At 42.7% G+C, this 17,092-nt stretch overlaps 1 protein-coding gene across 10 annotated transcripts in view; it reads left to right on the top strand.

Moving 5' to 3' along the window:
• The window catches only part of NRG1 (neuregulin 1), a 1,134,802-nt gene continuing 1,122,220 nt past the window's right edge, over window positions 4,511-17,092 (top strand). For 5 of the 10 annotated variants that reach the window (NM_001159999.3, NM_001159995.3, NM_001322201.2 and 2 more), the window contains exon 1: window positions 4,511-4,697. In NM_001159999.3, coding sequence (NP_001153471.1) covers window positions 4,661-4,697 — 37 coding nt within the window. In that variant the 5' untranslated portion in view covers window positions 4,511-4,660. Of the gene's footprint in view, window positions 4,698-4,810; window positions 5,996-17,092 lie in introns of those variants that run through there. The other 5 variants (XM_011544512.3, XM_017013367.2, XM_017013371.3 and 2 more) reach the window with 1 other exon arrangement.

Consider the following 17,092-nt stretch of genomic DNA (forward strand, 5'->3'; position numbering starts at 1 on the left):
ACATGTGTTGTCTTCATTGCCGGATTGGAAGAAACCCGGGGGCAACGTATCATTTATTTAGCGTAACATTGTATTTTGCATAATACTAGAGTTTCTAAAGAATTTTCATATATACTAAGCTATTTTAATCCTTGCAAGCATCCTGTGAAATAAAGCAAGGACTCTGCTTATTTAATAAATAAGGAAAGAGGCTCAGCATGATTCATAAATTTTCCTGGAGTTTCAGGACTGGCAAATAGCAGAATTGGAGTGTGATGCCAGCCAATTATATCCTTAAACTTTACATATATTGCCCAGTGTAAAAGTTCAAGAATGCTTATTTCTTTGTTATCTGGAAAGGGCTGCTGTAAAAGCAAACCTAAGTGAGACTGTTTGATCGTCCATGCCTGCCCCAAAGTTCCAAGAAGTTTTGAATCACGTAAAAACAATCAGAAAACCCTGTTGGTTTTATTCCTTTTTTTCCTCCATCCCAGCTGGACTGAAATATGTAAAATCTATGGGATTTCATGTCATACCAACTGTGCAAATTAGTGGCACAATAGATTGTGAGTTTCTTCAGGGCAGGAACCTTTCATCTTAATATTTCCCCCTTATGCTGCATAGTATTGACTTAAATACACACACACACACACACACACACACACACACACTTAAAGAAATGGATAGATGGAGAGATGGATGGATAGGTGGGTAGGTGGAGGTGACCAGGGACCCTAAAGTCTGTGACTCAAGGATCTAGGCCCAGTTCTTAAAGACTCATATTGCAGCTGATTTTTTAAGAATCTCCCCAACTTTCTCGCTACCATTCGACAGAGAGAGAGACATTCTGCTACATTTTTTCTCCTGGGTGGCCTATAACGGTTCACATTCACCAGTTCTTGTAACTTGTTTTTCACTCAAACCCAGCTTGCTGTTAGTCTGCTGTGTCTAAATAGTCATGGATCCTGCACCTGCTCTAAGACAGGCTGTTAAGTGAGGCTTCTTTCGGAGACTGCAAATTCAGGACTCCAGGCCCCTCAGAATGGTTGTTTCATGATTTATAGCTGGAGGTGTGTACTTCTGTGTGCTGTTGGTCAATGATGATAAAGTAGGTATCAGTGCCTCTGTGAATTTTCTGTTGCCCTTTCATAACCACCATTTAGGAGCATTTAATCAGGAATAAAGTGCTAGGGGTGGGAAAACCATTTCAGGTTGCCATTGCACTGTGGAGGCAATTGTGGACTTTTCCCCCCCATATTTTCTAAACTACTAAAAATAGTGTTTCACATTTACCTGCATAATTTTATGTCTGCTCTTTCCCTGCTTGAGCAGATAACATGATGACAGCTTCTCTGACCCCTAATTTTCCTTTTATTTTCAACTTTGACCATGGAGACATGTTAAGCCCCAAGGAAGCACTCATTTTTACTATCAACAGGTATAGTTGCCCCCTTAACTGGTCATAATGTCTGCTAAATAGCATCAGGCCCTAGTAATCCAGGAGGCAATCCACATTCCCTTACTGAAACAGAGAAGGGGAAGATTCAAGATGGAGGGGATATTGAATAGTTGAATGTCATGCCTAAGTATTCTTACACGTTTACAGGTTTAGTATGCTGTGGATATTGATGCTTATAAATCTCAAGATTTTGGCAGTTCTCAAAGTACAGTCTCTATCACCAGTAGTATCCGTATCACCTGGGAACTTGCTAAAAATGCAAATTTGTATCCACCCCCATCCCCAATCTACTGAACCAGAAAATCTGGCGGCAGGGCCAGCAATCTGTGCATTTGCACAGATGATTCTGATGCTCACTAAAAATTGAGAACCACTGGTTTTAGGAAGTTTACAAAAGACTGAACCTTTTTCTTTCTGTCTTTTTAAAACATTGGTGTGGACAAATTAAATTGTCCCTTTTCTGAACAGCATTTAATCATACTGAACAATTATTCATACCTTTTCTTAAGCATATGTTAATCATATTAGAAATGCCATTCCCTTCTCGTGCAAAAGGGCAAAATCAGCAACATCCTTCCAATGTGGGTGGGTAAATGAAGGCTCTGATACAAGAATTGAAATGAAATATGTGTGCAAACAGTTCTTAGTACTGAGCTGTTTAAAGAAGGCCTACCTTTGCACAGAAAATGTCTATAAGAATTACTCATTAATGCCACTTAATAGAGGAAGAGTAGGAGATAACGTGGGAACAGGGTCTTTTTAAAAAATACCACTTTAAAGAAGAGGCTTATGCTTCATCATAGACAAAATGCTTTGTATAGTACTAACAGGGGCATATCTATTCCTTTAATGACACTCTAAGCCAGTGCTTTAAAATTTTATTGTTGTTTTTATTGCCCCTGGAATTCCATTTATCTATGATAGTGTTGGATTAATGTGTGGTAAGCACATTGCCACATCAGTCCATGATTAATTAGCCGACATTTATTGAGTACTTAATATTTGACCCAAACTGGATCAAAACTGGGGAATATAGAAACTGTCGTCTCTGCTAACAAGTTTGCAATCTAGTTGGAGAGATGGGAGTAAAACTCCTGAAAAACTTGGGCTCAATAAGATAACATGATCAAGAGTGAGGAGACATGATATAGACTGCAAATGCAGGGAAAGTGCACTTTGTGGAGTGGTCACTCCAGTGTTTAGTATGTCAGAAAGGAGGCTTCATGGGGCAGACGGATCTCAAAGGATGCCTAAGTTCAGCAGTGGATTGTTTGCAGAAATGGCCTAATTCTTCCCCTGCTTGTATCTCTGCTCTTTGGCATTGCAACTTTTCAGGTCCTTATGTGAAGAGGTAGAGTCTACTCCTCTGCCCCTGGCCTTGTAATGGTGGCAATGTTGACGTGCTAATTCTGATTCTAGACCTCAAGAGACCTCGCACATCTCCGGCCACTCTATTGAAACACAACCAGCTGCCATGAACAGGCCCAGGTTAAGTCTGCTGGAGGAAGAGACCACATTCTTTATGAGATGAGATGTTTCAGCAGAAGCCATGGGAGACTAGATAGCCCCCAGCAGAGCCATCAATGAGGTCAACAGAAGAACTCCACCCTAGCTGAACCCAGTCCAAATTGCCAACTTGCAGAATCTTGGGCTAAATGAACCAACAGGTCACCAAATGTTGAAGTGGTTTGTCATATAGTGACAGATAACTGATACAAATCTGGAAGGTAGAGAGGAAGAAAGTGTTCTAGGCCAGAGTTGTACCTCCCAAAAAGTCGAGTCAGAAATATGGGAGGCCAGGCTAAAGAAAAGTAAAGAAATTAGTAGGATTGGATGTTTGAACCACTTTCTTTCAGTAAATCGCTAGAAGCACCATGCAGGGTTCAAGTGAACGTATACTGGAGGCCAGACCTGCCCAACTATGCTGCTAAATGGTGATCTTCTCCTGAAGCGCTCCATCAGGGTATGAGTAACAGGGAACTCCCCTTGCCAAGACACACAGGGAGTGTGATGACCCTGTCCCTCCAAACTGCACTTTGAGAGAATGGAACCTTGTTTTGTAGCCAACTATATTATGCCAAGAACAAAAAGATCTTTGTAGCTTATCATCTGTTTTTATGTTTTATATAAAAATCTAAAGCTTCTATGACATACTTTCAAGAAACTGCTAGAGGCAACACGTAGAATCCCAGAGTAAAGATATTATGAAGTTAGAGTACTTTAAAATTCTTCAGTTCTCACAGTGTGGATCTATCGCCCATTGAATAACAACTTTAACTGTTTTATGAGGTCACTGAATATATTTTTCACTATAAAAGAACATGAGAGAAAATATTTACCTTGAAATGCTAAAAATGTGTTCCCTTTCTGTGGAATGGCATTTGTTGAAAGGAATATCCCGGGAGAGGATGGATTCTTGTTTTAGACATAGCTCTTTAAATTTGGCAGGACATGTGGGGGTAGGGGGACAGATGGGGGTGGAGTTGGGGGAGCTTGGTATTCAGGTGGCACAATACCAGGTGGAGGTTAAATACCTACAACTCCTTATGCCTGGGATCTTTTGTTCCAATAGCCATAGAAGCTTCTTTCATTTCACTTTTTATTTTTATTTTTTGCAAAACCCATTAGTTGACAAAGTGCCATAAACTTTGTACAAAATGGCCTCGTTCAGCAAATATTTTATTCAAACTATGCTCCTATCAGCAGTACCACACATGTCATAAAGTCATGGTGAAGCAGGAATTTCAGTAAAAGAAAAGGCGGGGGTCATGAAGACCGAAGGATCAAAGGAGCATGGAGTAGAGGAGGCGTCACATCTGAAGTGCACACTGTGTGTGCGCGCTGCAAGGAGAGAGAGCGTTATAAAGTTGTTGTTTTAATCGCTGCTTGTCGCCTGCGAACATGTTGCTCCCTTTTAAGTGTCAAGCAACGGGTTCACCCAAAACTTTTCTGCACCGAGGACCCGCACGCCCGGGGTCCCACCTGCCCCTCTCTGCCTGCCTCCCACCGGCGCCTGGGCATCCTGCGCCGGCTACAGGTCCTTGCTCACTGAAGCGTCACCTCTCACTCCCCAGTAAGCCTCCGCAGCCCACTCGGACTGCAGCCTGTTTGCCGCCCGTCCTCCCATTGCAGCACTCGGGGCGACAGAGAGGGAGGAGGCGCGCGGGGACGGGGACGCCCAGGAGGACCCACTCGCGGGTCCCGCTCCGCTCCGGCAGCAGCATGGGGAAAGGACGCGCGGGCCGAGTTGGCACCACAGGTAAACAGGCTGGCGAGGCGCAGGACGCTGTCGCCGCCGCGGCCACCCAGCGATTTCCAGGCACGCAACTCCGCCTCCAGGGCTCTCTCCCTCGCGCTCTCTCCCAGCCGCTTGCTCGCAGCCCCAGCAGCCGCCGCAGCATCACTTCACACAAAGGACTGTCACCCGCGGAGCAGCTCCTCCACCTCCACGTCCTCCTCCGGTGACAGCAGCCCCGACAGCAGGGCTCGGGCGCGGCGGCGGCGCGGGGGGTGGGGGGACCTGTCACTCCCTGTAACTGAGGCGGCGGCAGCGGTTTTTTTGCCTTTTCTATTTTGCCTTTTTTTTTTTTGCCCTTATACCTCTTCGCCTTTCTGTGGTTCCATCCACTTCTTCCCCCTCCTCCTCCCATAAACAACTCTCCTACCCCTGCACCCCCAATAAATAAATAAAAGGAGGAGGGCAAGGGGGGAGGAGGAGGAGTGGTGCTGCGAGGGGAAGGAAAAGGGAGGCAGCGCGAGAGAGCCGGGCAGAGTCCGAACCGACAGCCAGAAGCCCGCACGCACCTCGCACCATGAGATGGCGACGCGCCCCGCGCCGCTCCGGGCGTCCCGGCCCCCGGGCCCAGCGCCCCGGCTCCGCCGCCCGCTCGTCGCCGCCGCTGCCGCTGCTGCCACTACTGCTGCTGCTGGGGACCGCGGCCCTGGCGCCGGGGGCGGCGGCCGGCAACGAGGCGGCTCCCGCGGGGGCCTCGGTGTGCTACTCGTCCCCGCCCAGCGTGGGATCGGTGCAGGAGCTAGCTCAGCGCGCCGCGGTGGTGATCGAGGGAAAGGTGCACCCGCAGCGGCGGCAGCAGGGGGCACTCGACAGGAAGGCGGCGGCGGCGGCGGGCGAGGCAGGGGCGTGGGGCGGCGATCGCGAGCCGCCAGCCGCGGGCCCACGGGCGCTGGGGCCGCCCGCCGAGGAGCCGCTGCTCGCCGCCAACGGGACCGTGCCCTCTTGGCCCACCGCCCCGGTGCCCAGCGCCGGCGAGCCCGGGGAGGAGGCGCCCTATCTGGTGAAGGTGCACCAGGTGTGGGCGGTGAAAGCCGGGGGCTTGAAGAAGGACTCGCTGCTCACCGTGCGCCTGGGGACCTGGGGCCACCCCGCCTTCCCCTCCTGCGGGAGGCTCAAGGAGGACAGCAGGTACATCTTCTTCATGGAGCCCGACGCCAACAGCACCAGCCGCGCGCCGGCCGCCTTCCGAGCCTCTTTCCCCCCTCTGGAGACGGGCCGGAACCTCAAGAAGGAGGTCAGCCGGGTGCTGTGCAAGCGGTGCGGTAAGTTCCTCGCCCTTGGGGGCGCGAACCCGCGGCGAGGAGGGCGCATCCCGGGCGCGCGGGCAGCGGGGCTCGACGGCCGCCCGAGCAAGGCAGAGGCGCTCTGGGTCCCAGTTGTTGGTTTCAGGGTGGTGGGTTCTCAGCGATCCTCAGAGAGGGAGGTTTCGCTTTCTCCAGCTTCCCTTGTCTTAGGCTTTGCCACTGGAGAAAGCCCAAGTTTAGTCCTGGGTTGGGGCCTCCTGAAACTTTTTAATCCTTTGGGGTTTGGCTCACCAAGTAGATCGGAAATGTGCCGGCTGCTTTCTTGTGGGTGATATGAACTTGGCTTTGGTTAGGAGTTGCTGATTCTGGGCCTCCTTTGAAGGAGGAAGGGTGAGTCCCGCAGGATTTTAACGCCTTCCCTTCACTTGGAGTCCAGAGTGTGGAGATGGTTAGGGGTTTGCTTCTGTGTCTGTGAAGTCTCTGCAAGGAAGGGGCAGTGCACTGACATTCCCCGACAGATGTGGCAGAGTTTTTTGGCAACTCAATGTCCAGCAGAGAGGTGCAGTCTGTACCTTGTGAATATGTGTAATATGTGAGAATTATAAAGTTGTTATTGGTGGGGGTTTTTTTTTTTGGCCAAGTCATCTCAAGAAATTTTGTTTTCACAATATTTTGGTTTGGAGGATGTTTTTGCACTTCACTGCATCAGAACAGATGAACGAAATTATGGAATATCACATGTAGGCCCTGAAGAAGAAGAATTTTGGAAGTTTAGCAATTATTTGCTACACCTTTTCCCACTTACCACTGAAAAGTATTCTTCCCGGGTCTGCTTCATATGATCAGGTTTGAGAAATTAGCTGATTATCTCATTTCGTTGCTGAGGTAGCATTATGTTTATGCCATTCATAAACTAATTTCTATGATCTAAATATCTGTATAATTTCCTGATTACTATATAATCACTAACACATAGCGGGGTTTCTTCTCAAACAGTAAATTAACACGATTACACATCACAAATTCCAACATGCATAATAGCTTTTCCCCCTGGTCTTTATGTATCCGTCTAATAGACGTTTGGGTTAATTGAATTTTTATAAAACTCAGCACCATGCCAAGCAGAGTCTGCCTGTGATGGAGAGTGTGTCAGTTCTTTTAAATTTGTGTCTGGTGGGGGCCAATTATTTAAATTTCTGGTTGGCATTTGTGGTGGTTAAGTCCTGCTGTTAATTAATACCTGATGATTTGGTTTTAATGACAGCAAAGATCATTGTTCACCCACCATTCCCTTATCTGAACAATGTACTTTGTATGCCAGAGACCTGTTAGGATTGCACCACTCAGTGGACAGAAGCTGTTCAGAGAGTGGTGCTGAAGAAAGCTAAGTGGCATAGGGATTCCCCGAGACCCACTGATAGATGTCACTCCAAAGCATGGGAAATGCTCTGCTGGGAGCTGTCTTATTAGGCAACCGAAAAGCTCAGCACCATCGTACTGCAGCATATGTTACTCTGTTACAGAATCTGAAACAAAACCTTTTAAGCAACACCACTGTCCAGTTTTCATATGTTTTATAGTGTGTAATTCAGGAAGGATTTTTCCTTTATCCCAAGTCATGAGTTTTGAATCATTCACACCACATGGTGGGAAGTTAATATAAAGGGGATTGTAGTTAGCTGTGATGCCTAGGATTGGGGGTGCATTACTACATTATCAATTGTGTTAGTTATACCTTTTAACTAGAAATAAATGTAAGACTTGAGAGGTAAAGTTCTTACAAGCATCCAGAGAATGTTTGGAAATGGAAAACTCATGTTGTTTGGAGGAATCATATTCTATTCTTGTGCTTCTAAGGGGAAAAAACTTCATTGAAGGTACTTAGTTTTGTCCCTCAGTTTGCCAGTCAAAAGAAATATAATACATAGTTGTAAGTTGTGGCACGTTTTAAAAAAATGGGTTTTTAATGAGCTGGAGATCTTTTTGCATGTAATCGAGTATGTTAAGAAATCACAAAGTTACTGCCCTGGATTTCTGTAGCTATTGTGTGTGCTTGGCGATTTTTGTGTTATATGATTTAAAGTAGGATATTGCTTTTAACCTCAAATAGATTTAGCTAAGTTCTAACTGAAATCATGCTAAAAGTTTCTCCTCGCATTTTTACAAACATAGTGTTTCTTGTAAAACTGGAGGATAAAAGCAAATAATATCAGCTATTTTATATGATGTAAATTCAGTAAATCTGCACTTGGAATATTGAGTGTAAAAGTGTGTGTGTGTGTGTGTGTGAGAGAGAGAATGAATGAATGTGTGAATTCATCCAGTTGTGTGGTGTCAGATAATGCCATTCAGAATTTGCCAGGCAAAGAAACACAGAAAAATGGAAAAGAGAGAGAGAGAGAGAACTAGCAAGAGGAAAGAATGAGAATGAGAATGGGGGCTGATTTGTTCTGGTTGAGCTGCTTCTGGTCAGAAGATTTCAGGGAGAGTGATGGAGCAGAAGGCCCTCACCTAACATGAAGCTGCCCTGGGGGCGTGATGGTTGTGTGCAGGCTTGAGCCATAATGCTAGGCTGGAGAAGGAATAGAGCAAAGTCATTTTGTGATATCATACCCAGGGGAACAGTTTCCAGCTCTGCTGCTCTCAGCTGCTGTGTTGTTTCCTACAAGTTGTTTGCTAGTGTAGAAACTACACATGCAACAGATTAGCCTTAGGGTTGAGTTAATAAAAATCTTTCCTCTTGAAATTCCTTTTTCTCTTTCCCCCTCATCTAATATAAACTCCGGAATAATGTCGATAAAACAAGAAGCTCTTTGAAAAATGGACCTTTGGAAACAGAAACTATGAGTGTATTTTAGAAGACAACATGGAAATTCATAGCTTAATTGCTTTGTAGTTGAAGTTTGTATAAATGACACTTCCTTTACAGTTATTTAAAGTGTTTGTAGTCTTCACTTTTTCTGTTGCTCACTGAACGACCTAAGAAATATCCTTGGGTTTTATGTTCATTGGAATGCAGGATAATTTGCTGTCCGATTAAATCTCTATTATTCAAACAAGTCATTGTTTGATGTGCTACACTTTTAGCTTCCAAAGCATTGTGGTTATATGAGGCAGAAGCTGATTTCCAAAAAGGAGTACAAACACTGAGGTTGAATAACATCTACAATTGGGCTATGCCAGATTTGTACATCAATTCTGATCTTACAAGCCAATATAAGTATTTTATATCATATGATGGTAGAATGAAGATGTATACATGTATGCATGTATTGATAATGTAAACATCTTTATCAAATATTTATGATACATAGCACTTGCTCTTTTTAATATCTTCAGTCACTATTTAATAAAGTGTGCTAACCTTATGGTGTTTTGAAAATGAAAGAAAATGCTGCAGAGATTTTCCAGTCAGCATTAAAGAAAACTATTCTTAATAAAAGCTATATTAAGGAAATAGAAACAGTAACAGATATAGCCTGACTGCTTGTATGTTGTAAATACACATGTAAATTTAATTTCCCAAGTGTTTGTGACTGCTCTTTTTAAACTTTATAAATCTTGCTGTCAAAAATCTATACCGGATTTAAAATAGCTACTTCTACTGAGTAGAGAAACTATGTATTTATTTATATGTATGTTAAAAATGAAACCAACATAGGTCATTTGGGAGAAGAACTCCTTAGAATAAAAATATTTTAAAAAGTGGATTTAAATATCTGAGTTAGAATATTTCACTAGCACTAGGGGATCGTTCTTGTTGTTGTGGGGTATCTATAAATCCTCTGAATGTAGGGAAAGTCTTACCATATGTCCTGATGTATTAAGTAAGACTAGGAGCTTTAGACAACAGAGAATTAAAACAGTGAGCTGTACTTCCTCTGGCTTGTATATTTATAGCAAATGAGAGCAAAAGATGTGATTGGGCGGGTTATTGCCCTTGTCAAATATAATCTATTCATTCTTCCGGAAATCTCCTTTGCTTCGATACCTATTTTCTTCCTGTTTTTTTTTCTTAATTATAAACATAATGTCTTTTACAACCCTCTTGTACATTTCAATGACAATTTATGAACTGCTTAGATATCCAAAGATCTCTAAATCCTCATAGCAATACTTAGCCTTTTATTTGTTTTAAATATGGTTGAATGATCTGAAAAAATAATCTCTTTTGATAGCTCTTAATGAATGGGTATTTTGATTAGCTTTGTATAGATAAATGATAATGAAAACAAAAAGTATACAATTAGGGTTCTTACTGATTCAAGCAATTTGTTACCACCCCAAAATAGTGCAACATGGCTTAGTGAAAGTCTTCATAAGAAAGTAAAAACTAATTTACAATGTTCTTATTTCCTAATCACAGAAATGGGCATTGTGGACAGTTTTCAACCAATATATGAATACTCTAAATTTGTGCATACATATTGTTACTCCGCTTTTATGTTATAACATGTAAGTTAAAATTACTATTATGAAAGAATATATAACCTGGCTAGTTTACCCCCAACCTCTCCAGAATATCAGTCGCTTTATAGTACTTGAACGTTTGCTTAGTGACACATTCTGTTGAAATCTAATGTTGAATTATTTGTGGATTTACAGAATATACAAATTCACAAATAATTGTATGACTAAGACAAAACTTGGTCATTTTAAGTTGAGGGATTGTCCTAGTTGAGAGGTTGTGTTTTCATATTGCCTAAGTTGTTGAGTGCTGTAGTGCACTTCAAGTAAATCTGTTTCTGAAGACTTGCCCCCTGGATTTTCGTCCCTAAATTATCCATACAGGTTGAAGCAGATAAAATACAAGAAATTTTGGTGAAGTTGAAGGTTAAAAATAGATTGACTAGTCTCTTCTTGGCATAGATACAATTATTAGGAAACAGTTCTCCCTAATACAGACTTGCCATCCAGGCATCCTAGAGAGAGATGCATATGTGGTAATTTACATTAATTTTTGGTCTTCTTCAGGAGAACCAGGATATTTTTCCCTACGGAAAATAGTTTGTTAGGAAGTTCTTTCCTGGCCCTTGATTTACCTCATTTGGACCTAGTAAAATTTATACTTTGTTTTAAATTACAACTAAAAAATCAAAAAGAAGAAATGTTACCTACAGTCTGGATGGACCGTAAGAGACTGTCCTACTACTTTCTAACTCAGACTTCTGTGTTTTTTCTTTTCTTCTTCTTTATTTCCCCTATGAAGATACTACAGGGGAAGCCTTGGGTAAATGATGGGGCCCAGGAGTGGATTGTAGTGTATGAGTTTAGGATTGCTAGTCATTATCATATGGACTAGCCTTCTCTCGAAACCTTGAAATTCAGCTGTCCGGGTCCAAGGAATGTTGGAAAATAGAGGTCTTAGATCACAAGACTGTGAATGCAAATGGTCTTTCTGTTTCTGATGGAGTCTTTGTCCATCCCATGAGGACGTGGATGGTAACCTGCATTGCATCTCTAGTTCAGAGGCTTTCTCTCCAAAGCCCAAGGCTCTGTCTTTGGACATCTGCCCTGGCTTGCTGGGAACAAGAAAACAGCTCTGAGTGGTGCATGAATCCGGAGCTAGTAGCCAGGTTTATGAGGTAGCAATGGTCCAAGGGAACCTAGAGGAGGGAATTGTTTCCTTTTCTTTTGCTCTGCTGTGCTAGAATATGTGAGCTGAATCAAGCCCAGTGCAAGGGAACATACCTGATGAGGGCACTAGAGTCTTGGTACTGGGTATACCTAAGAGCCCAGGGGATGGACGAGGGATAAGAAATGTGAAGTACTGTCAGCTTCACTAAATTTGGAAAATGCATACCAGTAATACTATCATCCCAAATGGTTGTCTTTTATCTGGGAATTGCCATTAAGGCAAAGATAGCTAAAAAAATTGAGGGCATACTAAAACCACATAGTTATAACTACCACTTATGGAGTTGGTAAATTTTTTTGGCCTCTTTGATAGACACATAGAGTTTGATTTTTATGTGTAGATTAAATTCCTGTTGAATAATTAATGAATAAATGACTGAAGGACCCCAGCTGGTTGGATAGTGGAAATCACTGTTCTAGCCTAAATTTAGAAAGATAAAAACATACTTTTGATTTTTTTCTCTTCTCATCTCTGATATGGTGAGTTTGATACCAGGACACTGTTCCCTTCTCTTCCCATCCAGAGCCTTACTGTAATCTGGATCGACCTTTGGGGCTTCAGAGAAAGGTTGTTTAATTTCCCAAAACTTTTCCCTCACTTATTTTTAGAACAATATTTGTTCTGTGTAGCTTATAGCCCAGCAGGAAAAAAAAATTCCAGTGTTGTAAATGCTTAAAAGTACAGAAGAGTTTTGCTGTAGTCTATGAACCCTTACCACTGTTTTCAGCAGAACCATTTGTAAACCATCCCAGTTTATTTTGGGTGACAGACTTCAGTATTCAGAAATTTTGTGTTCTCCTTGGATCTCTCTTCACAGGTGTTTAACCATCTCAGTACTGTAAGTGATACTTTATGTTGAAATTCATTCTCATAACTGAAGATGGAAAAACACAGCTTATATCCCTAAGAAGTAATACAAAGAGGTTTTAGATCAGTTCCTCTTTACTTATTTTTCTTGTTTCCAATATCACAACAGCTCTTGGTTTACCTGCAGGTGGGGTGGCATGTGCCCATTTGGGCTCTGATGAATAATGAGGTTCTTTGCCTTCACTTCCTCAGTCGGCCCTGGAGGCACTGTGGGAGATGATGTGTTATCAGTGAAGCAGCAGATGTGGTGGCAGCATTTTCCTCCACTGCAGGGAGCATCCCGTCTGTACCTCTGTACAGAGCAGGGGAGCTGTCTACTGAGAAGGAAATGGATGGCTGTGTTTGCTTCACATAGAATTTCTCATTAGCCTTGGGAAGTGGTTCTGGCAGTTGGGGCCCCTTGGTGGTTGCCAGGATGGAGAGGTTCTGCTCAGAGTGGGTGTGCTCATTGTCCTGTCATCTGCACAAAGGGCCACAGCATTGAGATAACCTAGGCATGCTGCTGCTTTGCAAGCCCGGACACCTCCGGACAATCCTTTCCTCTGTTGTCTTCATTCCCATCCATAGAGATGGGTCACATCTTGTCCTCAGGAACACTAGCACCTTTCTTTTTGTTGGAGCAGAAATTTTATAAAACACCCTAGCATTTTGGAATATAGTTTTATTCCGATGAGCAGTTTAGAAAAATTTATGGTAACATAAAATTTACCATTTTAACCATTTTTAGGTGTGCAGTTCAGTGGCATTAAGTATTTGCATTGTTGTGTAACCCTCACTGCAATCCATCTCCAGATATTTTATCTTCCCAAAGTGGAAACTCTGTATTCATTAAACACTAACTCCCCATTCCCTTTCCTCCTTTTCCCCAATCACCATTCTACTTTCTGTCTTTACAAATTTGACTACTCTTTTTTTTTTTTTTTTTTTTTTTTTTTGAGACGGAGTTTCGCTCTGTCGCCCAGGCTGGAGTGCTGTGGCGCGATCTCGACTCACTGCAAGCTCCGCCTCCCGGGTTCACGCCATTCTCCTGCCTCAGCCTCCCGTGTAGCTGGGACTACAGGCGCGCGCCACCATGCCCGGCTAATTTTTGTATTTTTAGTAGAGACGGGGTTTCACCGTGTTAGCCAGGATGGTCTAGATCTCCTGACCTTGTGATCCGCCCGTCTCGGCCTCCCAAAGTGCTGGGATTACAGGCGTGAGCCACCGCGCCCGGCCCTACCTTTCTTAAGTGTAGAGTTCAGCAGTATTCAATACATTCGTAATGTTGTACAACTATCACCATCATCCATCGCCATACTCTTGACCTTGTAAAACCAAGACTCTATACCAATTAAATTACAACTTCTCATTTTCTCCTCCCCCAGCCACTGACAAACACTATTCTACTGTTTGCCTCTCTGATTTTTACTAAGTGCATCATTTAAGTGGAATCATATGGTATTTGTCCTTTTGTGACTGGCTTATTTCACTTACCATAATGTCCTCAAGGTTCATCATGTTGTAGCATATGTCAGAATTTCCTTCTTTTGAAAGGCTCAATAATTTTCCATTGTATGTAAATAACACATTTTGTTTATTCATCCATCCATCCATCAGTGGACACCTGGTTTACTTTCACATTTTGGCTATTATAAATAATGCTGCTGTGAAATGTCTTCTCAAATCCCTGCTTTCAATTTTTTGGGTATATACACAGAAGCAGAATTGCTGAAACATATGGTAATTCTTTTTTCTTTTTTTCTTTTCTTTTTTTTTTTTTTGAGATGGCATCTCACTGTGTCGCCCAGGCTGGAGTGCAGTGGCACGATCTTGGCTCACTGCAACCTCCACCTCCTGAGTTCAAGTGATTCTCCTGCCTCAGCCTCCTGAATAGCTGGGAGTACAGGTGCATGCCACCATGCCTAAGTTTTGTATTTTTAGTAAAAATGGGGTTTCACCATGTTGGCCAGGCAGGTCTTGAACTCCTGACCTCAGGTGATCCGCCTGCCTCGGCCTCCCAAAATGCTGGATTACAGGAGTGAGCCATGGTGCCCGGCCTCATATGGTAGTTCTAGGTTTGCTTTTTGGAGGAGCTATCATACTGTTTTCCATAGCAGCTGCACCATTTTACATTCCCACCAGCAGTAAACAAGGGTTCCAGTTTTTCCACATCCTCCCTCACACATGCTATTTTCTACTGTTTTGATACTAGCCTTCCTAATGCACGTGGAGTAGTGGTGAGCAGTTTTTATATTGTTGTTGTTTTCTATACAGAGTTAGTGTCTCTAATTACACTGTCATTAACAAGAAGCAAAAGTTCTCAGAAAAGAGAGGTGTTCATTTATTCAACTCTTAGTTTAAATAGCATGTAAGATCCTGAATCTGAAACCATGAAATAAGGAAATTACAATGGATAACAGCTTAATAAAAACAATGATTTAAAGAGTAAGCTTAGAAATAAAGAATTGAGTAAGCTTCGATTTAAAGAATAAGCTTAGAAATAAAAACAATGAAAGATGTAAAGAATAAGCTTAGAGAATGGACTTACAGAAAACAGTCCTCCAAGGTCATCATGAGAATATTGTATTTTTATTCATATTGCTATCAGTGTAGTCCAGAAAGGAACCTTATCATACTTTGATTAGTTTCAGAACCTTTTAATTGATTTAATGTATTCATTAATTGCCTCTACCCCAGCAATTTCCCTGTCTGTATTCCTGTCCATTGCCCCAATCCCCTTCTAATCAGTACGCACCAGAGGCTGAGTCATTCTAAAATACTACTTTTTTTTTTGTTTGTTTCAGACAGGGTCTTGCTCTGTCATCCAGGCGGGAGTGCAGTGGGACGATCTTGGCTCACTGCAGCCTCAACCTCATGGACTCAAGCAGTCCTCCACTTCAGCCTCCCAAGTAGCTGGTATCACAGGCCCATGCCACTATGCCCAGCTAATTTTTGTATTTTTTGTAGAGATGGGGTTTTGCCATGTTGCCCAGGCTGGTCTTGAACTCCTAAGCTCAAGCAATGCTCCCACCTCAGCCTCCCAAAGTGCTGGGATTACAAGCATGAGCCACTGCACTTGGCCTGAAATGCTACTTTTCTTAGGCCTTGTTCCCTACTTAGAAAGTTTCAATGGATGCACCATAGTTAACTCAAGATCTCAACATTCAATATCCTCCTTAGCCTCAATAAAGCCTTATCTTTCTCACCTTCCCATATGAACACTTCATCCACTCTGACTGCTCCCTGAACAGGCCAGGCACTTTCCTAACCCTCCTGTTTTTACATATGCCATTTCCTCTGCCTCGATCTTCTTCCACCCTCATTTCTACCTGTGGAATTTCTGTTCTTCCTTCTAGGGACAGCTCAAATCCTACTGCTTCCATAATGAAACTAGTAATGATTCCTACCAGGGATATGCACTCTAGAATTTGAACACAGAGCTCCTCTTTCCTGTGTACCTTACACAAGGTACTGTTACAAATTTTCCTTCTGTCATATTGTGTTTGTTACAATGTATGTATTTTAAAATTTTTCTCTGTTTCTGTGTGTCTTGCCTCACTGGCAGCCAACACTATTCTTGTGTTTGGATACTAGCAGGGTCTTCAGCTTACTTGCCAGTGAAAAGTGCCCTGGCCTCGAGTCAGAAGAATCCTTTCCACTTTCAGCTTTGTAGTTAGTACCTGTGTGATTGTGGGTCGCTGACTTTATTCACTCATTTGGGTCTCAGTTTCCTAATATGCAAAACGAGAAGGTAAAATGCTTTTCAAGGTCCGTTTAAACTGTATTTGGTCCTCAGAAATGACCCAAACATAGAAATCTCCTTCTTCTGGAGCTTTTTCTGGAGCTTATTTTCTCTTCCTCTCCTCTTATTTAGTGTTGTTCTCAGGAGAACACATGTGGGAAAACAACTGTGAAACTTTTAGACACTCTAAGAGAGGAGAAAGAGAGCTGAATGAGAGGGAACCTTCAAGGGAAGGTGTCTCTTTTCTCCAAATCTTATCTCCATGGCCTTTTTGTGTCATTTAAAAAAATATTAACAGTTATTTGCATTCGCTGGCATCGTCTTTTCAAAAAGCAAATATGATTGCCTCTGCAAGCCTGTCTTTGAAATGATAAAGTATGATTAATCCACAGCTGTATTCTTTAGAATGAGAAAGTTCAGTCATTTGTGGTGCTAAAATGAAAAAATAAAGATTTGAATGGTTTTACTATTTACTGTGAATTTATTTTTACAATGTAGATGGGGCATTGTTTTAGGTTCTAATAATTAGCACTGTTGCTGAAATGGATGAGGTCAGCACAGAGAGTGTGGAGAGCTTGGTTTTCAGGGGGGTGGCAGCAGTTCTAATGGCTGCAGGGCGAGGCTTCCTGCTGAGATGCCAGTGTTGGGTTCTTTCTCAAATTATGATTTTTATGGTTTGGGCAAGAAAAGGATGCATTTAAGCTCTTTTATAAGTAAAATGAGCAATGCTGAAACAGTTGTCAAATGGGAATAATTTGATCTGACTTTTACAATTTCTGCATGAAGAGGTATTGGCAGCTCCATGGCATTGGGGCAGGATGGGCAGGGCTTAGCTGGGCTAGGTCCATTTTTTTTTTCCTTCAGTTTAACGTCTCCGACCCCTGGTGGA

Source organism: Homo sapiens, chromosome 8 (genome assembly GCF_000001405.40).
Source record: "Homo sapiens chromosome 8, GRCh38.p14 Primary Assembly".
In the NCBI taxonomy this organism is placed as follows: Eukaryota; Metazoa; Chordata; class Mammalia; order Primates; family Hominidae; genus Homo; species Homo sapiens.